Source organism: Homo sapiens, chromosome 4 (assembly GCF_000001405.40).
Source record: "Homo sapiens chromosome 4, GRCh38.p14 Primary Assembly".
Classification (NCBI taxonomy): Eukaryota; Metazoa; Chordata; class Mammalia; order Primates; family Hominidae; genus Homo; species Homo sapiens.
The window spans coordinates 139,759,070-139,781,662 of NC_000004.12; the positions used below are offsets into that span (position 1 = coordinate 139,759,070).

General features: G+C 44.0%; 1 protein-coding gene and 1 long non-coding RNA gene across 4 annotated transcripts in view; one reads left to right on the top strand and one right to left on the bottom strand.

Annotated features, from left to right (window-relative positions):
* Positions 1–22,593, bottom strand: part of MAML3 (mastermind like transcriptional coactivator 3) — a 437,432-nt gene that overhangs the window by 42,317 nt on the left and 372,522 nt on the right. The window lies entirely within an intron of this gene.
* On the top strand, positions 3,987–10,527 carry LOC124900781 (uncharacterized). Of its 2 annotated transcripts, none has more exons than XR_007058275.1 (2): positions 3,987–5,904; positions 9,821–10,527. It is a non-coding gene; the product is annotated as an uncharacterized LOC124900781 (long non-coding RNA). The 2 variants fall into 2 exon arrangements; XR_007058276.1 differs by having other exon boundaries at positions 3,987–5,714.

Genomic DNA, 22,593 nt, shown 5'->3' on the forward strand with positions numbered 1-22,593 from the left:
CAAATCACAGTCACCCAGAAAGAACCTTCTCGCCCATGTGATTTCTCCTCTGATCCCTGATGTTCAAACTGACATTTGAGGGGAAGACAGAAATGTGTCCAGATAAAACTCTCCAGCTGGATGGTACAGGGCACAGCAGTTATGACAGAAAGAGAAGAGCCGCAGCAGAAGAGCAGTCTGGTTACTCCCCCAGGGAAATAACATCCAGAGGGATGGGGGACTCCAATATACTGCCTTGAATATCAACACACTGAAGTATGCAGCAGAAACAGAATGAACCTGCTGGAACAGGCTGGTGTCTGTGGGGCTCACGTGGCAGGGAACTCCTGCTTCCTACCCCTCCACATCCACCCTGCCCTTGCCCCAGGTCCCGGCCTGACTCCTCACCTTGAACCAGCATCTCTCCCTTACAATTTTTCTAGCTGCTATTAGGCTGTAGTCCTGCTCTAGGTGTGGAAGACCAACTCTAGGTTCTGGCCATAAATTGTTTTAGCACCTAGGCAAATTGCTTTCTAGGTTATTAAAAGAACTGCAGATGTTAGAGGCTGTCTCTAGGATTGTTAGACAGCCTTGTTTTGTGCTTTCTTTACCTATTTTGATTTTTCTATAAGAAGTATGCATTATTTTAATATTTTTGGGAAAAGAAAAATGATTTAAGATAAAAATATTTTTTTGCATCTGTGGTTATGGAAACACTGTTAATATCGAGAATGAATAAATAATGGAATACTGGAATGAACCATGAAGAGAAGCAAGGCAATAGCCCACTTTCACACAGGGGGTAAAGGCGAACATGATATTGATTTCTTGCAAAGTTTTAGGACAAAAGATTAAACAGGATTTCTGAAAATATGTAAAACAAAGAGGCCACCTTTCCCATTATTCTGTACTGCTGTTAACTGATTATAGTAGGGGAATGCCACATATGTGATACTTCTCAACAACACGGTATTTGGCAAACTCTCTCATGACAACTTTTGGACAAAATGGAAAACAGTGCATAGAAGTCAAGAGTAGGTTCCTTGGAAGCTGGCTGAAAGTCTGGTCCTACTGGTACCCAGATTGGTGTCAATCTAGAAAGAGTTCTCTAACGGGGAGTGATAAGGCACTGTCACTGATGTAGATGAAGGCAGCAGATACAATGATACAAACCTGAAAAGATGAGCTAAATTCTCCCTGTGGAGTTTCCAAGATGCTGAAAGTTGAGCAGAAACTCAGGTCAAACTTAACAGAGGTAAATCTAGAATTCAGGTGAACAAGAAACCAGCTACACAAGTTCAGGATGGGAGGCAGGGAAGTGGGATAGATAGAATGTGGGCTTTGGAATCAGTCTGCTGGGCTGTAATCCCAGCACTTCGGGAAAATTACTTAACCTCACTCAGCCTCAGTGTAGGTGGGAGAATTAAAAGGGACTGATGGCACCATGTTTAGCACAGCGCCTGGCTCATGGGCACAGGACACGCTCAATAACTTTATAATTATTAAATGTGGCCAGACAAGAGTTCATTGTATACAGAACACCAAGGCGCTTCATTGCCCAAAGGAACAGTAAGAACTGACAAAGTGATGAGGCTGTAAAACACGTGAATTTGAACTTAAGCTGCAGATTCAGGAAAGAAACTGTACTACTATATTCTATACCCATCAGAAGCCATCTGGAATATTGTTCAGCTCAGGACACCACGTTCTGAAAGAGATACCAAGAGGCTGGAGTGTATCCAGAATGGTGTGACATGAGAGTGAGAAACAGCTGGACAACTAGAATCATTTAAGAAAGAAAAATGAGTACAGGATGGTCGTGACAACTCTCTTGAAATACTTGAGGAATTGTTATATAGAAAAGAGAGTCAAATTGCTCTGTTGTTCTAGAGGACAGCTTTCTTTTCTTTTCTTTTTCTTTTTTTTTGAGATGGAGTTTCACTCATGTTGCCCAGGCTGGAGTACAATGGCGCAATCTCGGCTCACTGCAACCTCCACCTCCCGGGTTCAAGTGATTCTCCTGCTTCAGCCTCCTGAGTAGCTGAGATTACAGGCACGCATCACCACACCTGGCAAATTTTTGTATTTTTTAGTAGAGATGGGGTTTCACCATGTTGGCCAGGATGGTCTTGAACTCCTGACCTCAGGTGATCTGCCTGCCTCAGCCTCCCAAAGTTCTGGGATTACAGGCATGAGCCGCTACACCCGGCCCTAGAGGACAGCTTTCTAAAAGTCTTCAGCCAAGTTTGTTTAACAAAAGGGAAAACTTTTCGACAGAATGGACCATGGAACAGGTTGCTTCATTTCCCACCACTGCAAGTGATCAAAGAGAGTCTGGAGGGGGCGTTAGGGGAATTGGAGAGGTTTTCACAGTTGTTCCCCTTCTTCCTCCTCCCTGCTCCAACAGCTACAGCCTCTACTGCTGGACCTTACTAGGCTTCCTTTCATCCCATTAATGATGATTAGATAGGACACAGAGTCCCCCAGTTCCTAACCTTCTCCACTAGAGCACAGAAGGCACATTCTCATGCACAGATGCATATTCATCCAGCAAGTATTCGCTGATGGCCCTCTACAGGTCAGGAAGTGTGCTACTTGACAGGGGCTAAAAAGATGAACAAAGTATATCCCCAGGGAGCACCTAGGCTAGTGAGAAACAGGCCCCTCAACAGATGCCTGTGAAACGGTGAGGCAAGTGCAGTGATAGAGATTAGCACGGGGGACTCTGGAATCACAAAAGAAGCTCAACTAACCCAGCCTGGCTGGGTCAAGGGGAGTCAGGGAGAGTTTTCTCCGGGAGTAGATCCTGGAAGCTGTGTGGGAATTGGTTAATGTGTTAGAGGAAGAGGGACAACATGAGCAAAGTAATGAAGGTAAAGAACAGCCCTGTGGACAAGCAGTTCTATATTGCTGGATTGTGAAGCATAGGGCATGAGACAGGAAGAAGTCAGGCTAGAGAGGTTGGATGGACCGAGAGCCCAGGGAGCCCAGTGTGGGTTTCTAGGAGCTTCTATGCCACATGCAGAAACTTGCATGGATGAAGGACTCTTGTTCGAGCTGCAGAATCCTAACTAGTCCCTGGCCTCTAGAAAATATTTGTGCAATTGTATGTTTCATTACCATGCATGTCCTCTGTTCCATGAGTGCAGGGCCTTGTCCATCTAATTCATCACTATATCCCCCGTGTCTAGCCCAGCGCCTGGGACACAATAGGTGACTAAAAAGGAAGAATGGGAACAGAAAGGATGCAGCTTCACAGGGTTTTTGTGAGGCTTCCTAAGGTGCTATATGTAGCATGCTTAGAGCACTTGGCCCTAGCATGCATGAATAAGGGACAGTGATTGTGATTATCATTCATTTGCATTTCTTTTTCTCCTGTCTTGTTGATTTTTCAAGCCCACTGCTTATAGTACCTTTGCTTTTGTGGCTGGCCCTGATTAATACATTTTGATGAGTAATAGTGTTTGCCAAATGATAACGGTCCCCAAAGAGGCCCCCAACCTACAGAGAGTTACAGAAATATTCAGCATCATAAACCAAAAAAGGATATTCAAAGGACAGAATCGAGGAACTGATTTCCTCAATGGGAATACAAAACTTATGTTTGCAGGCAGGCCTCCTCGAGAAAGTATGCAAGTGTCACATGAGGCTCCATCGCTACACTCATGGCCAAAACTTTAACCCCCGTGAACCCTGGATAAAAGGCAGGTAGAAATGGTTGAGAATAAACTGTTCTCTGTAGACCTCGTTGACCCTAACAACCATCTGACGGGGCTTTAATCTGGTGGGGTGTGGCCAGGCACAGCCCATGGAGGAAAGAAAGCCCCCCTTTCTTTCCTGAGGAGGGCTGGAGAGGGGGTGCGTGTGCATATTTCGTGTCTATGTGCCAAAGTTAGGCTTCCTGACATTGTTTCCTCTGGCTTCTCTTGGCACAGTGTCTTCCTGGTCTATGAAGGCCTGCAACTGGCTGATCTTGGTTAAAGGGAAACTGACCAGTGGTATTTGGTGGATACTGCTTGTCCTAAAGATTCAGGAGGAATAGAACTTTCTCCAGGAACCCAGGGACTTATCCAGGGATGACAATCTAACTTTTTAGGGTCTGATTGAAAGATCTGCATCCTTGTGGACAAGAACTTAACTCTACAGAGGAGATTCCTCCTGCCACAGGATTACACCTGGAAAGATTTTAACATTCTTTTCCTTTGTCAAGTCCCCAAAGGATACATTCCTGATAGGGAATCCTAGAGTTTATTCTCCCTTGAATGACTAAGGCCCTAGGCAAAGCTGAAGAGGAGTCTGGATTCTGTGAGAATGAACAAGGCAGCTGCTCGGAGTCGGCTGCTGAGGGGGCCATCTGTTTAAGCAACGAGAAGTACGGAGCTAAAGAGGCACACGGTATTCAAACATGTGAGTTCCCTGCACCAGGGCTTCTGGTCAGTTCTTCAATCAGGAGAGAAAATGATGCTTAGGTGTTAAAGGTTCAGGGGGAGCCGAAATGACTTCAATTGCCAAAATAAACAGAATTGCTTAATTAATCTAACTAAAAAATCCTGTTCAGCATTGGATTAAAAAAATCATGTTGATGCTGCCCCTGTTTATTTGGCTGAATCCTGGACTGAGAGGGTATATTTAGCCTCAGTGTGCTTGCAGGATTGCATCTTGCAGCTCAACAGGAAATATCTGGAGTCACAGCTAAAGATATCTCTGCATGTTCAGAAATTTACGAGCAGCTGTAAAAGTGGAGCTATGGTGGGCAGAGTGCTGGAACAGTCTCCCTTTCAAATGAGAGAGGCCGCTGAATTAAACACTTGAATATACCAAGTTCATGGCAGGCAGAGGGCACCTGACATGCTAAAAATAGCCAAAGTGGAAGTGCTTCTGTTGCTAAAATAATACTGAACTGGTATGCTCCTTTTCTCAACCCACAAGAAATGGGTGAAGGGGTAGAGGGTAGGCTCTGAGATTCCAAAAAGTGTGTCAGAAGCTATGCCAAGTGAAAGTCATTTCCTCATTTTGCCACTTTTCAAAAATAAATAGCTTTCTTAAGCTGAGCAAACTGAAGTAGCAGTAATCAATATATTATTTTTTAATAACACGAGACAGAAATGGTAGCAGCAAAAAGACACTGCATACCTGGATCTGTAGTCCTGCTGACAAGCAATCCTGCTGACGAGCAAACCTTTTCCATCATGGGCAAGACTCATTTATTTTTAAACATCCTTTTGCTAGACTCCCTTATCAGCAACTCCACGCCCTGCTCACCAATGCCCGGCTGGAAAGGTCCCTACTTACTCCTGTGCACATGCCTGGCAAGGCTGCTTGCTAAACAGCATGGACAAGGGGACGTCTGTGCCCCTGCATGTTGCCGGGCAGAGGAGGCTACGACCTTTTCCCGAATGGCCATTAGGTCCAAGAGCCACTGAACTTTCATTCTGTGACCGAGGACATTGTCTCATCTTTCCAAGTCTCACTTGCCCTTTTGCCTGATGTGGGGCTAATAGAGATTACCCTGGTGGCCTCCTGAAGTTGCTGTGCAGATCTAGTGAGCTAATGCATGCGAGAGCACTTTGTGACTCCCAAAAGCCTGAAACCTGATGGAGGATGTGGTTGCTGTTGTTATTGGGCATTCTACTGGAAACGCGGGGAAAGAACAGCAACATCTCCCGGTGATAAGGGAGTGCTGTGCACAGACATTGAGTGTGTTCTCTTTTGTGGGATGGTGCCATCTTCCACAGGTACAAGCACTGTCCACATCCCACTGAGAGCAGCAGGGGCCACAGGAAGTCCGCTTGCTTTCAATGAGCTTGGCATGGCTCACTGCCGGCATCGCGGCCACACTCCTGCTTCAGTGACTGCACCTACTCTGGGCAGCTCCCAATGCAGGGCTGGGCCTGGGTTCACGGGGAAGCAGGGGCTGAGACAGAGGTGAGCCCAGCCTCAGTGTGAATGGTTATGAAGTTATCACCAGTGCCTACCCTGGGACCAGTCCCCCAGGCTGGTCAGTACTCCTAGCTGGGAGGAGAGAGATGCCTACCTTATCTTAGGCAGCCCCACTAACAGCTGCCGTTTGGGCTGCCACTGACTGAAGGGATTATTATTTATTTTCTTTGGTTCTCATCTCCTTCTCATCTGCCTTACATGTTATATCTGGTAAAAAATGATAAGTTCACCATGATGGTCACTGTGGGGCACATGGACAAAAATATGTATGCACATTGTCTAAAACTGGAAGGGAATATTAAAAATGAAATTACTTGCTGTTTTAGGATGGTAGAATTAAGAATGCTTTCCTTGCTTCTTTTTTTGCACTGTCTAATGTTGTTAAGTAATCTTTAAAATAATTTAAAAAAGGAACTGCAATTAGGGTTTTAACATTTTGTAAAATGACATTGGTTACCCTGATTTTGGCTTTACTGGGCCTGAAAGTGCAAAGTTAAAGAAATATCACATAGGCTAAAGGATTCCAATGTAATAATCATATTTTCAGCCTCTGAAGTATTTTAAGGGTGGCCTTCTTCATTTCAAGGTTTTTTTGGAGAATGTAGTAAATGGCAAAGGACATGCAATGTTTAAAAGTTGGAAATCAAATCATAGCTTTTTTATTTGGAAAATGCTTAGAAGTCTACAATCTTTTCCACCAATGAAGAATGAAGTATTGGCCAGGTGTGGTGGCTCATGCCGGTAATCTCAGCACTTCGGGAGGCTGAGGCAGGAGGATCGCTCCAGGAGTTCGAGACCATCCTGGGCAACATAGCAAGATTTTGTCTGCACTAAAAATAAAAAAAATAAATAAGCCAAGTGTGGTGGTGCGTGCCTGTAGTCCCAGGTACTAGGTGGCTGAAGTGGGAGGATTGCTTGAGCCCAGGAGATCATGGCTTCAGTGAGCTATGATCATACCACTGCATTCCAGCCTGGGCAATACAGTGAGACCCTCTCTCAAAATAAATAAATAAATAAATAAAAAGAATGAAGTGTCTATCGAGCACCTATGTGCTGAACATTGGGCAAGGTGTTGTGTATTTCTTCTTAGTTCCCCCTTTTCCCTGTTTCTCCTCCCACAAAGTGAGTCTCACTGGTTGTTTCGTAAGGCACTACTCAGTTAACTCCCTTCATGGTCTTTCTTTTTGGGGGGTGGGGGTGGGGGATGGAGTCTCACTCTGTCACCCAGGCTGGAGTGCAGTGGCATGATCTCGGCTTACTGCAGCCTCCGCCTCCTGGGTTCAAGCGATTCTCCTGCCTCAGCCTCCTGAGCAGCTGGGATTACAGGCGCCCACCACCATGCCCAGCTAATTTTCATATTTTTAGTAGAGACGGGGTTTCACCATGTTGGCCAGGCTGGTCTCAAACTACAGACCTCAGGTGATCCACCCACCTTGGCCTCCCAAAGTGCTGGGATTACAGACGTGAGCCACCGTGCCCAGTCACGAGTGATTTTTTTAAAGCTCTAGATGCCAAGGTAGTGTCAATGAGGGGAACTGCCAACAATTTCTGGTTCCTTCAATAAACAACCAGAAACCATGACAGAATAGGGCTTGGCACCTATGGTAACCGGCCACACCCAGCTGCTTTCTCTGGAGTACAGCAATAGAATGGACAACGGCTCAGATCTTCTCCTTCTTCTCCCGACAACTCCAAGTCCGCCATTTCCTTCTACCATGATTTAGAAATTATCCCCTCTATTTGATAAAGAGGTAAATTAAGTCAAGGGAAGGTAAAGGTTCTGGCATCTGGGCACTCGGCACATGAAGAGCAAAACTGAGAAAAGACCAAGGTTTGCCACTGCGCCATCTCCCTGCAGACCAGCTCTGCAGGCACGGCCATGGGGGCCAGTGAATGTCATGAGACGTTAAGTGCGAGGCTGAGCTAGTTGCCCTCTGTATTTTGGTACCCACACATGAAAAACTGGGGGTAACAGTATGTGTTCCTTCCCACCTCACAAAAATACCTTATCTACACATAACAAGTATACACGTGACTATTATTGTCCACTTTATTATTATGTCAATGTGATTACTCTGTAACCCAACTTATATTCCTTTGCCTCCCAAGGAAACAGACAAAATAAAACATGAGCACCACAACAACTTTCCAGCGGGTACAGGTAATTAATTCTAACCAAAAAAGTCCACATTGGGTCAGGCCTACCACTCAGCTATTCAGCTTGGCACGGAATCTCTTTTGGTGGCACCAAGGGACATGCTGACGGATGTGTTCGTTAGGAAAGCACAGTTGTCTATGTTGATGTCAACCTCAAATTGTGAGGGCCACATACCAAACCACTGAGTTTTTGCTAACATCTCGTCACAGATCTATCATCCATGAAATTGGTTTAAGCTGTCTTAAAAGCTATTTATAGTTCTGGTCTTACCACATCTTACATTAATGAAATTCCTTACGCTTATGAAACCAGCCATGTAAATGAGTGATGCTTCCTTTTTTCTTCTTCTTGAATTTGCCTCTTTCAAACTCCATAATGGTCCTTCCGACTTTGTCTTACTATACCAGGATTTGGTGAACATGTGTGTGATATATTACATTAATCACATACCTGGTGATTTTGGAGTCCCATTATAGCTCCTTTCAGTCTTTATGTATTCAGACAGAAGAATCCAAACTTTTAAATTTATTCTCACATAGTATTTCTTAAATGAAAGGTTATTAACTTTGGTCTGAGGACCCCAAGTTAGCCATAGATTAGCATGAAAGTGCATGCAAAACTGTGTGTGTGCACACATGCATTTCTCTGGAGTAAAGGGTTAGAGAGAATCTCAAAGGAGTCTATGACTCCAAAAAGGTTAAGAACCACCACCTTTGACCACTTGGTTCCTCCTTGAACCTTTTTTAGTTCTGGTTAGTTATTTCTTGAGATGTGATGGCCAGAATGGCATATTATATTCTAGATGAGGTTATGTCAAAATTCTGAACAAGTTTATTTTATTTTCTTTGTAATTTTTCACCAGATGATGTCTCCTATTTTGGTGGAATATCTTTGTTGGCCACTCATATGTCTTCTTTTGAAATGTGCCTGTTCATGTCCTTTGCCCACTTTTTAATGAGTTTTGTCTTGATGATTTAAGTTCCTTATAGATTTTGGATATTAGTCCTTTCATGGATGCATAAGTTTGTAAATATTTTCTTCCATTCAGTAGGTTGTCTCTTTACTCTGTTGATAGTTGTGTGTGTGTGTGTGTGTGTGTGTGTGTGTGTGTGTGTGTGTGTTGCTGTTCTTTAATTAGGTCCTAATTGATAATTTTTGTTTTTGTTGCACTTGCTTTTAAGGACTTAGAACTTTCTCAAATATATTTTTGATAGTCTTATGCCACAAGTTTAAGTTATTTGCTTAAATATCAGGTTCTTGTAAAAAATAACATCTGATAAGTATCTTGATTCTCAGAAACAAGTTGCTTTATAATTCCCAAGTCTTAGTATTTACTATTGCTCAGATTAATTTGGCCATATTACAGTATGGGCTCAAGCATAAAGATGTATTATATTTTGGCTTACAGTTGTAAATACCTCCTTATGAATCAATAGCAATGTAACACCAGATGTTTAAACTGTTCTACTAATGTTCAGGAAATAAAGCAAAACCAATGTGGATTCCTGCTGCTACTCTTAGTACTACGCTGATGTTGAGAAGGTAGCCTTGGTGGGCCAGGGCAGAGACCAGTCCTGCTGCAGCACCCCATGGTGCTGGCTGATGTATGGGGTCTGGGTAGACAGAAATCAAGGCCTGAAAGCTATCGTGGCTCTCTTGGACCAACAGGAATGCTGGGCATTCACTCTTCAACATCCTGCTTCCCCTCAGGTTAATTATATATTTTCCCCCCTTTTCTTTCAGGTGATAACATAGGATGTGACTGTTTAAATTCACCTGGCTTCGGTCAACATTGACAGAAGGTGTACATGACTCTACGGGAATGGGGAAATGGCAGCACCAGGGGCTGACTGAGCCCCAGTCCTGACTGTGACTGCTTTGGTAACAACAAGGTGTTTAGGAAGAACAGTCCCAGTCCTTTTCCAAAGGTCGCCTCCTGGTGTTTACTAAAGGAACTCTGAGTCTCAGCAGAAGCAGAAGTCCTACCATTAGCTTGCAGAACCCTTCAGGATGGGAAAGAAGACTTGGGCTTCAGTGACTCAGCCTGGAGCTGGGAACAGGCAGGCAGGGATACAGAGTGGGTGTTCTTCTCCTACAGGAGGAGAGATGCATCCCTCATGCCCAGAGAGGCTCTGGGGTCCCCGAATCCAGAGGTAGTAGAAGAAGAGTCAAAACACACTCTCCTGAGAACACATCTCAGGTGCATGGAACACAAGACACGCTGCTTTGATTAGGGTGCTCTCTTGTCCATTTTGTTCTATAATCCACAAGAGAAGACCATCTGCACAGCAGTGACATGCTCTAGTTGACCATGATGAGCCTTTCCTAGGGAAACTATTTTGAGTGGTATATCTTACAGGAGACTGCAAGGCTCAATAGTACAGTCACCAGGAAAATCTACATGTAAATATGACACTTATGAACCGGCAATAAAATATGGTGAGTCTAAAGACCTTCCATGTCAAAGTTCTTTTTCTTTTTTTTTTTTGACGGAGTTTCACTTTAGTTGCCCAGGCTGGAGTGCAGTGGTGTGATCTTGGCTCACCACAACCTCCGCCTCTTGGGTTCAAGCCATTCTCCTGCCTCAGCCTTCTGAGTAGCTGCAATTACAGGCATGTGCCACCACATCTGGCTAATTTTGTGTTTTTAGTAAAGATGGGGTTTCTCCATGTTGGTCAGGCTGGTCTTGAACTCCTGACCTCAGGTGATCCACCCGCCTTGGCCTCCCAAAGGGCTTGGATTACAGGCGTGAGCCATCGCGCCCAGCCTCTTTTTTTTTTTTTTTTTTTTAAAGACACAGTCTCCCTCTGTTGCCCAGTCCGGAGTGCAGTGGCACAATCAAGGTTCACTGCAGCCTCAAACTCCTGGGTTCAGGCGATCCTCCTACTTCAGCCTCCTGAGTAGCTGGGACCACAGGTGTATACTACCATGTCTCAGCTAGTTTTTTATTTTTTAATTTTATTTTTGTAGAGACAGGGCCTCACTATGTTGCCCAGGTTGGTCTCAATCTTCTGGGCTCCAGCGATCCTCCCGCCTTGGCCTCCCAAAGTACGGGCATTACAGGCATGAGCCACTGTGCCCAGCCAAGGCTCCTTGTCTGTGAGGAGGATTCAGAGACATCTTAGAAATTTTCATTACCTTTGCCTATGAATTAAGTATATAGTATCGGCAAAAAATATTTGGACACTTCTGGCTTAAATGGATGGAAGCTTTAAGAGTTCAACCGTTGTTCCCATGGACAGGGCAAAGGTAGGGGAAGGAAAACGGAAGTCTCTACTTTAGTTCTTCACTTATACTTTTTCTTTTAAAAAGACTATTCTGTTTGTGTCCCTGGCAACAAGCTCCTCCCAGGATCCTAAGGGAGTTGGTGGATAGGGAGGAGGAGATTGGTGGTGGCTGAGCTGAAGCAGGACAGAATAGGATACTGATGTCAGAGGGCGAGGCAGGCGCTCAGTTGGAAAGTTGCTCTTTGTTCCTAAAAATAAAAGTCTGACCCTGCTTTTTTGGGATCTTCCCTGGAATGAAGCCAGCCAACTGCTGATCTCTTTTTAGAATTAGCTCAGTAGCCCTCAGCCCAAAGGTGAACTCCAAAGACCCTCCAGATATTCTGGCCCCCAATAAAATGTTACACAGTAAAGTAAATGACATCAGAGAAAGTTTCTCTTGAAAGGATAGGATGGCCTGTATATTTGTAAAGCAAAATGTATCCAGCAGAAAGGATGAGTGGATAGGACTAGGGAGAGGAGGGGGATATTGAAGACAGAGAATACCAGGTTGGGAACGCTGCCCAGAGGTTGTGAAAGGATTAACAACTGGATGTGGCTGTGTGCTTTAGAAAATTCTCTAGGAGGACCAAGTGTGGCAAGGAACCTCAAAGACCCTCCATGAAGGATCCACACCACACCCTCCTTCTGGAGAGCTCTCTACAGTACTCGGAATCTTACGTTTTATCCATTCATGAAGTCTTTACCCAAAGTTACAGCTACAGTTTATAAAATGGCAGTGATGTATTACGCTGCACATCAAACGAGAAGCCCTTTTCCTTTAAAGAGGTTGTATTTTGGAGAGGGTTTTGGGCAGCCATTGTATAGACTGTACACTGTTCTGGGTCCAAGAACCAAAGCCATGTCTTAGAACTTTCCTAAGACTGAGCCTCATGTTATGGGCTGATCATCCTGTATATCTAAGGACCCTTTTTGCAGTGTCATTCCTAACTATTCCAGTGACCAGCCACCTTAAATGACTCAATGCATAAATAAAACATCAGGTAGTGAAGAAGTTCTTTCCTTCCCTGGAAGCGGGATAAGATTCTGTGGCCATGCACACAAAAGCTCCTATACTTTTCTCTCATTAGCAAATGCTGGGAAGAAATTCATTCAAACTTCAATCATTATTTTTTATGTAAGTATCTGGGACTACAGGATGTAAAATAAAGGGCAGAGTTCACTAGTTTATACACTGCTCCTCTAGAGTTTAGCTGGCGGAAATAATTTTCTGGTTGAGAAAACGGAAGATTGTAAAAGATTTCTCAGGAAACCCTTAGCGTATTTAACTGCAAATTCCCCAGCCTAGGACAGAGTTTCTTAATTAGGTAATCCAGAGGGACCACCTGTACCAGAATCAGCTACAGGTGCTTTGAAGATGTAGCTTTCGGGGGCCCATCCCAGATTTGGATCTCTGGGATGGGGCCCGAGTATCTTCAATTGGAACAAGCTCACCAGGTGATACACTGAAGTTTGGGAATCATTGCTATGTCTTGAAAGAAACATCCCACACCAGGTCACCTCTACTTAAAGTAAAAAAAAAAAAAAGTCCGGGCGCGGTGGCTCACGCCTGTAATCCCAGCACTTTGGGAGGCCGAGGTGGGCGGATCACGAGGTCAGCAGATCCAGACCATCCTGGCTAACACGGTGAAACCCCCGTCTCTACTAAAAATACAAAAAATTAGCTGGGCGCGGTGGCAGGTGCCTGTAGTTCCAGCTACTGGGGAAGCTGAGGCAGGAGAATGGCGTGAACCCGGGAGGCGCAGTTTGCAGTGAGCCGAGATCGCGCCACTGCACTCCAGCCTGGGTGACAGAGCGAGACTCCGTTCTCAAAAAAAAAAAAAAAAAAAAAAAAAAAGGTAAAAGGACCTACACTTCTTCAGGTGTAGCTCTTGCTTTCCTAGTTCACAGATATTTTTAAAGTTGTCTTTTTGTTTGTTAGTTTTTTTGAGACAGAATTTTGCTCTTGTTGCTTAGGCTGGAGTGCAGTGGCGCGATCTCGGCTCACTGCAACCTCCGCCTCCTGGGTTCAAGTAATTCTCCTGCCTCAGCCTCCCAAGTAGCTGGGATTACAGGTGCCCGCCACCACACTTGGCTAATTTTTCGTATTTTCAGTAGAGACACAGTTTCCCCATGTTGGCCAGGCTGGTCTCGAACTCCTGACCTCAGGTAATCCACCTGCCTCGGCCTCCCCAAGTGCAGGGATTACAGGTGTGAGCCACTGCGCCTGGCCAAAGTTATCTTAACATTATTGGCCCTCCATTAACTTGTATTATAGCAAGCATCAAGAGGATGAACTTCCCAGACGTAAAATGAGTCAGTCAATGTTCTGTCACTGGAGGTCTTCAAGCAGAGGCTGGAAAGCCACTTCTTAGGAATACCATAGGAAAGAATAAAGTATTGCTCACGCCTGTAATCCCAGCACTTTGGGAGGCCGAGGAGGGCAGATCACGAAGTCAGGAGTTCGAGACCAGCCTGGCCAAGATGGTGAAACCCCATCTCTACTTAAAAAAAAAAAAAAGAATAAAGTATCAGTAGAGGGCCCTAACCCTAAAATAATGTATCACATTTCCTCTAGCTCTATGATCATAGGATAATATTATAAGAAAATCAGCTTTAATATATCAAGTATTACATTTTAAAAAGTCTAAGCATATGCCCAGATTTTTTTGGTAGTTTTAAAAAGAAGCATGAAAGCCAATCTGTAAAACTGAAGTCCAGAAGCTGAGGATAGAACTATCAACAGGCTTCAGGATTCTTAGCCTTAATTCCAGCTCTGAAACGTATTGGCTCACCATACGCTCATGAAGACAAACAGAAAAAAGGCAGAAGAGTTCATCATCTTCACATTGCCCTACCCAGTCCCAAGCATCCTGTTATCTAATGGCACTGTGATGACTGCTAAGCCTTGTCACTCTTCGGAGTGGTGTTCATCAGATCAGAGACTTAAATCTCTCGCAATGCTTCAGGTTCTTCAACTGCAAAAGGGTATCACTAAATGCCCAGGGAAATACAATTTTCAAGAGGATAAATGCTTGACTGTGCTGGTTATTGGCACCTGTTTTCCATTTCCCTAGAGTTTCCTCTTCACTAGTCAAAAGTGTGCGTGTCCATGGATCTTTGCTACTACAGAAAAATAATTCCAACCCTAGGTAGTGCTAAGGATGGGGTAGCAGTGAGCACATTACCAAAAGGCTCAGCGTAAATGGGTACAGAAGATGAGCCTGTGCAAAACAAAATAAAAAAGGAGATTCTGAAGTTCCTCAATCAATTAAACTAACAATTCAGATAAACAGGAGAGTGAATCTGTGGAGTCTGAATTATCTGGCAACCTTTCCATGTATCATATTGACATAAAGATTGCCAAACCGCCCACTCTTCAATTCATGTTGTGTGGACTGTACTTAAACACCTCGATGGCTTTGGAACTCAGATTTGAGACAGGCACTTGAAGAAGATGACTGAGAAATGTTCAATTTGATGAAAAATTGCAAACAACCGGACCACTGTGAAACCATATGTATGGGTTGTTTCTAACTGGGTGCTTTACTTCTGAAACAGTTTTCAAGTTTGGGATCTAAAGCACATGGTCAGGAGTTCAAGCAAGCCATAGCAGGCCATCCTTTGCAGCAGGCCGTGTGAGCTTCATCTTTACAAACAAGGACAAGAGATGTGCCTGAGCCACAGAAAAGAGCAGCAGAGCACCAGGACTTGGCTCAGCTCCAAGTCAGAATGCTGAGCTCCAGAGCTGGGCTTTGGCTGTTCCTCTCACTGCAGGAGCAGAAATAATGGTCAAAATGTTCCTGACCTTGACTGTCTCATCTGAACAAATCCTCCTTGACAACTACTACACTTGGTAATTGTTTATTTAACTGGGCGATACTCTGTTACTGTCTCCTCCAAGTCTGTAAGCAACATGAGGGCAGGGATGACTTATGTCTATTTTGTTTACTGCTTTATCTGAAGTGGCCAGCACTGTGGCTGGCACGTAGTAGGAGTTCAATCCATATCTGCCAAAAGGATAAAGGAACAAATGAACCAATGAATGAATGAAGAGATAACAGACTCCAGAAGTAATTACAGCTGAATCCTATAGCCCACTTCTAAGAGTAGTAGCATTTTAGGAAGCCCTAGTATTTCAGCTTCAGAGATGGCTAAGTATAATTGTGTGAAGTCTGAAAAGGACTTAAACTCTGTCGCTCCATTAATGATCAAGACAGGAAGAGTCTTTAAGAAGAGAAAAAAATTGACGGAGGGGAGGATGGCAGAAGGAAAATCATGTTTAAGAACTAATAGAAGATTTATGATAGTAATTTTTAAATCTTAGACGTGAATTATTCTAAACCATGATAAAAGAATTTACTACAAATGGCAGTTGCAGAATGGCTTGAACTGCTATATGATATCTTATTGAATCTCCACACTGCAAAGTTGGTGGAAGTTAAGCTGTTTGTAACTTACTTTGGAGGAAAGAGAAATAAATGTGTATGTAAACGCTAATCAGGCCGATGATCTCTCTTTTGGTGCAATTTGATAGCTACACCTGGGATGGGGCCAAACTCTCTCCGGGGAAAGACTTCCTTTTAGAACACCAGCAATCCCCAGATCCATAATGGTGAATTACACGGGTCTGAGAATAAGAGGAAAAGTCACCATGACTAGAATGAAAGGATAATGCAAGGGTACTTGGGCTTCTCATGGCTGCATGGTATATGATTCTCTGGGTTTTATACTGCTCCTTCCTTAGCCCTCAGAACTCTTAATCCTATTTTCATTGCCCTAGGTAAACTGGGAAATATTTTCTCCTCCTTGACTGCAGTTACTCACACAATAAACAGGTAATAAACATTTTACTGCCCTAAGCAACCTCCTGCTAGGCAGGCAGTCAGAAGAGAAAAGGCTGTGCAAAATAACCCCCTACAGGATAAACTGTGGGGTACAAAGGATGAGAGTAACCCTTCAATAGAGCGCACCCTCTGTGGGTTCCAGGAGAGTGACTGGGAGCTGCTGGGACACATTAGCTGGCCCTTGCGGTCTAGATTCCTCTCTGCTTGAGGCTAGTAGGGAAGATTTGATTTCACCAAAAGGTAATTTAGTTGCCATTTCAAAGCTCTGTCTAGCTAAATTAAGGATGAGGAACGAAACTGGAGTTTACAATCTCCCAGGTTAAACCATGAGCTGTGGGCCCGGAAAGGAAAATAGGGGGCAGTTTGCAGCAGAGAGGAGTGGTTCGGGGGGCAGAATGATTCCGTTTGATTTCAGGTTTGCATTTTATTTTCCAAGGCATCCTTGTTTCATTGTTGTTGTTTCTATCTTTCCGGTATATCACGTCAAACTGTTGCTATCATCTGCTGACAGGGTGAAAAGCACGGTGGACATCCTTTGCCATCCTATTTTTCTTTCTGCTACACTCAGGGTTCCCTCAAAAGCCTTTTACCTTCAGCTTAGTTTAAAGCATTTTATGGTTCCGACTGCTTAGGAAATATTTCTAAGGTACAACTTGCAACTGTTAGGCTACTCTGCACCTTCCCCCAACTCAGGGAAATAGGGCAAAGCCAAATAATAATAAGATAAGCTCTGCTTCTACGGCTGCCATTTAACTTATTTATGGGAAATAAAAATCTTACATAAATATTTCCCACCAAATAGCATGCCAAATCAGAATGTATTAACCCAAGGCAAATGATAAATGCATCTGCACAGACAATCTTCCAATGCATGTAGGCTGAAAAAATGATTATTTTGTAAATCAACAGTTCTTTGATGTCAATTGCTGTTAATTTATGGTATTTTGCTCTAATTTTATTTTGGGATATTTATTTTTGTTGTATTTTGTTGCAGAGGTGTTGTGATGGTCTAGGAAGAGCCGTAACATGCTGATATGTCTAAATTAGAGAGAAATTTGAGATCTGATTATGTCTGAAATGGCTCCTGTCGTGATACAGTGCCCTGGAAACCTCCTACATTCCCTTTCTGCTTTCTCTGGAACCCTTCTTGGGAGGGTTAAGGAAGTGACTCTGCAGATTAGGTGATAAGTGATTAGAAAGCACTCCGAAGACCACACTGATAGATAAGTGAAAAATAACAAAGCTCCCGGCAGCTTTAGGGAAAAGTGCAGAGCTGCAGCCACTGGCCATTTTATCAGAGGCTCTTAGGTAGACTGAGGCTTTCCCTGAACAGTGTTTGGATGATCCCCACAAAAACAGGATGGAAACACACTCAAAGCAGATACGCGCAAAATGGTGCATTTAAACCCCAAAACAAAAGGCACCAAAACTGGATGGCAAAGCCTGGGCATAGACAGAAGCCAGGGGCAGAGGTCACAGGGCCAAGGATCAGCCAGATATGGCTTCCTGGGATGGCTTAGAAAAAGAGTGACATGTAAAGGCCAGGAAGCACTCTTTGTTTTACTGGCGTGACACTGTTATTTGACTTCTGTGTCCTACTTTGGCTCCAGCATCTACAAAATGGCATGTAAAAAACTTATAGGGGCACAGAGGGCAGCAATAGCCATAATTAAAGGGATGGAAGAAAGGTTCTCCAAAGCAAGATGAAAGGAATTGCATTGTTTATCCTGGAGGAAAAAAGGTTAAGGGGTGACAGTGACTGTATTCAAATATAGGAAGGGTTTTGGAGGGACACTCATCCACTCCTCTGCAGGGTTTGGGGGAGGAAGAACTGACAAAAAGCAACAGGTTTAAATGAAATGCTGATGTGGTACAGGGCCCTGGAAAAGCTGACGGTTCTTCAGACAGAAGGAAGAACTTATGGAAAGGCAGGGTAACCCAAAATATAGGCTGACTAACATGGATCTTAGACTTAATATGTCCAAAATAGAATTTCCGGTTCTTTGCTCCCCACTCCTGAAAACAATACCAACATCTACTGTGTTGGCCAAGTAAACATTTCAAGAAATCATTCACATTTCCTTCCCTCCTCTACCTGCTCCAAATCCAGTCCTTCAGCAGACCTTGCCACAAGAAGATCTGAATTTGATCAGTCTTCAGTCTCCACTGCCACTTCCCCAGTCCAAGCCATCATCATCACTTGCTTGGACCCAGCCAGGAGGAACCTTATATTCTCCTTCAATCCATTCTCCAGACACCTGCTTTAAAACATTTATATTTATTTATCTGAGACATGGTTTCTCTCTGTCGCCCAGGCTGGAGTGCAGCAGCATCATCATGGCTCACAGAAGCCCTGACTCCCTGGGTTCAAGCAATCCTCTTGCCTCAGCCACCCAAGTAACTGGGACTCCAGGCATGCACCATGGTGCCCAGCCCGGGTGCTTTTTAGAGCATAAATCAGACGATGTTACTTGCCTGCTTAACACTATTCAAAGACTTCCCATAATGCTTAAAACTCGCACTTTTGACCATGGTCTTCCAGGCTGTGCATCAGCTGGCTCCTGCCCTCTGCTGAACCCTTATCTTACCCACCCTTCTCTCCCTGCTGCTCTCTTGAGCCACATTGACCTTCTTGCTGTTCCTGAAAAGCCAGCTTTGCTCTCTTTGTGCCAGCTGCTCCCTTGGCTGGAACACTCTTGACCTAGCTCTTCCCTTGGCTGGCTCCTTTTGTCATTCTGTCTCAGCTCAAGTGTCACCTCCATGGGCCTTCTCTGGCTACTAGAAAGTGCACACTCTGAGAGTGAGAACTTTATCCACCTTGTTCATGACGGTATTCTCAAGCCTTGGACAGGCAACTGACACGCTGGGGTGATGCAATGAATATTGGTTGAATGAAAAAATAAAATGATGAATAAAAGAATACCGTGATAAAAGTAGGTTGTTACTTGCTATCCCAAGAGAGCTGGAGATGAGAAAAAGAAAGTGTTGTGCATGGTTTATACCACCATGGACTAGATGATATTTTGGACTTAGAGATTCACAGGGCTGTGCACTTTTGAAGTGAAGTGAGGGCCTTGCCTCCTCCATTGAGGTCCCAGAGAAGAGTAAAACCCAGTGGGGCATCATCCTTATCAGGGTCAGAGAATTTTAGGGGAGTTTCTCTGAGCAAGAGAAAAAGCACAGAGGGCTGACCTTAAGTCTCAGAGGGCAGCCACAGTGGAAGGAGAAAAAGATGGGGATTTAAGATCTGCTATCTCACTTGAAAACCATTGAGTTGGATCACCTGTCAGGATGAATTGAAGTTACTATTTTCCTTCTTCTTCATAAAGAATCGTTAGAGACTGGGTACCTCCCTTACTCTTCCTGAGGGCGAATCTCTAGCACTACCTCCATAACATTTATAAGGCCCTTGTGGTTCCACGTTCCCACAGAAAATGCTATGAGCTGGCCAGGCACAGTGGCTCATGCCTGTAATCCCAGCATTTTGGGAGGCCGAGGTGGGTGGATCACGAGGTCAAGAGACGGAGACCATCCTGGCCAACATGGTGAAACCCCGTCTCTACTAAAAATACAAAAATTAGCTGGGTGTGGTGGCAGGCACCTGTAGTCCCAGCTACTTGGGAGGCTGAGGCAGGAGAATCGCTTGAACCCAGGAGGTGGAGGTTGCAGTGAGCCGAGATGGCGCCACTGCATTCCAGCCTGGGTGACAGAGCGAGACTCCACCTCAAAAAAAAAAAAAAAAAGAAAAAGAAAATGCTGTGAGCTATTCTAAATCTGCCTTTACACAGCCTACTTTGATTCAGAATTGGACAAAAGAGGGTTGGAAGGACTCTTGGAATATATGACTGCAAGGTTTCTGTAGGCCGTGCACACATACAATGGCTGACCATTGCCCCAGCCAGTTAGCCAAGGCCTTTTGAGCAAGGTTGATGTAATCTATTTTATTTTTGCCCTAATTTCCCTAAAGAGCTGAGGAATAGTCTTTGGGGGGGCTCTATAAATGCTAATGATTGATTCACACACCTCACAGAAGGCATAACTCTGGTAGGTTTTTAGTTGGCTTTGCTGCTCTTCAGTTCAAAATCCCAAAGTGTTATCATCAGGTGGCTGGTGGAGTGGAAGATAATGGAAATAAATTTAGAAACTTAATTTAAAAATAATTTGTGAGCCCCATCACCCCAAAAGTCCTAGTGGTCACAATTTTAATTATGTCTTTCAGGTTTATAGCCCTGATTTTTTACATTTAAGATTGTTTCTAAAATGTTTGAGAATGGTCAGTAAAAATCTCCTCACATTTAGAAATACAAGTTACTATTTACTGCCCATATTAAAAAGTATTTCTTAGACTGCATCTGTATCCTGGGATCTGCCAGCAATACACATGACCATAGGATAGGAGGACAGACCGGAACACGGACTGGATTCTTTATAAATCAATAATCAGCGGAGGGGTGAGGGGCTGTCACTTTGGTGATTTCATTTTCAGCCACAGCTGGCCAGATTGCTTTTTGGAAAATAAAAGTCATGGCAAATTGAGCTTGACAATAACCAGGCTTGACTATGGAGGCCCTTTCTCCACCCTGCAATCAGAATGAGTGGAGGAGGGGAGGCCGACAGGGAAAGATGTTTCCCCGAATCTGTCACAGATCAGTCTTCGTTATGTTGTAGGGCGCAAGCCATATGCTGCTACTGTAAGTGCTGTTCTCTGTCAGCTTGCAGACTCTGCTCTGTTCCCTCGCCCCTAGGCCAGCAGATGCGCTGCCATTCCTGACTTCCAGTTCCTTATGAAGACCATGTAACCTAGAGCCATGCTGTCCGAGGCGGTACCCACTATTTACATTTAAATTTAATAAAATTAAAAATTCATTTCTGCAGGCGTGTCAGCCACTTTTCAAGTGTTCATAGCCACACTTGGCTAGTGGCTACTATATTGGGCTGTGCAGGTACAGAACATCTCTCCCATTCCAGAAAGTTCCATTGGACGGCTCTGACCCAGAAAACTCAATTGGTGCCAGGAGGCCCTTCCTTCTTTGTTCACAGATTCTGAGGTCTTTACCTTTGCGGTAAAGAAGAGAATTGGGTGTACTGAATTTGAGAATTCTCTGGGTGCCATGCATCTACCTAGAAAGCAGACACCACAAATACTGTCACTCAGGACACAGTTCAAACAACCTCAAGCCAAGGAGAGACTCTTAACCAACCTCAAATGTGCATGTGCTTATTCTGCCAAACTCCAGAAGACAGGTGGAATGCTTTACCTTGTATTTTCCCCCTTTTCATTGTTTCTCCTGAGTAATCCTTGAAAAAACTGCTTTTTATTGTCTACATGTGGCTGTGCATGGGTCGCCCATTTCTTTCTTTCTTTTCTTTTTTTTTTTTTTTTTTGGAGACAGAGTCTCGCTCTTGCTCTGTCACCCAGGCTAGAGTGCAGTGGCACCATCTCGGCTCACTGCAACCTCTGCCTCCTGGGTTCAAGTGATTATCATGTCTCAGCCTCCTGAGCAGCTGGGATTACAAGTGCGCGCCACCATAGCCAGCTAATTTTGTATTTTTAGCAGAGACGGGTTTTACAATGTTGGCCAGGCTGGTCTCAAACTCCTGGCCTCACGTGATCTGCTCGCCTTGGCTGCCCAAAGTGCTGGGATTACAGGTGTGAGCCACTGCACCTGACAAGTGTTGCATAGTTCTGACGGCAAAGAATTACACAGGCTCTGATAATTCCCCTTTGCTCATAGGAAACCATCAAAATCATCATTTTATCTTTGTTAGAATGCTCAGCACTCACATCCCTATGCCCAACTACTATAACTGGTTTCACTAGCTCCTTACCCAAAATGCATTACTCTCTGGATGTTGCTTGAATTGTGTATTATAAATTCTTAAATTTTTAATTTATTTACCACCGTCAAAGGTGTTGTACATCATCACTGAAAAATAGAGTTGCAGAGGAAAACCCAGAAACACTCTACAACATGAAGCAATATAACCCACCCACGTTTTCCTATTTGGATCATAATTTATGCTGCACAATTCAGTTGCCTCACTTTTGGGGCCTGAACAATGAAAGGGAAAGCCTTTTATATCTACAAATAGATATAAAGCCAGAGAGTTCTATAGTTTAAAAGGTCGAGGTATGCTGTTTAAATTTGGCAAACTTCATGATATTTAAAAGTTTGGTAAATCTCAAAATCCCAGTTCTATTACTAGATTGTTGTGGTAGGAGCTCTCTTCTAATGATCGCAGAGCATTTTCATATATATATATATATATATATAGTCTGTACAGCACACCCATTACGGCTATTTTCTCTACTAGCTTCATTTGTTCTCCTGCATTAGGCAGGATTAACTATTAATATTGTTCTAATTTCACAGGTGGGCAAAGAGGGGAGAATGTGGTAAAACAC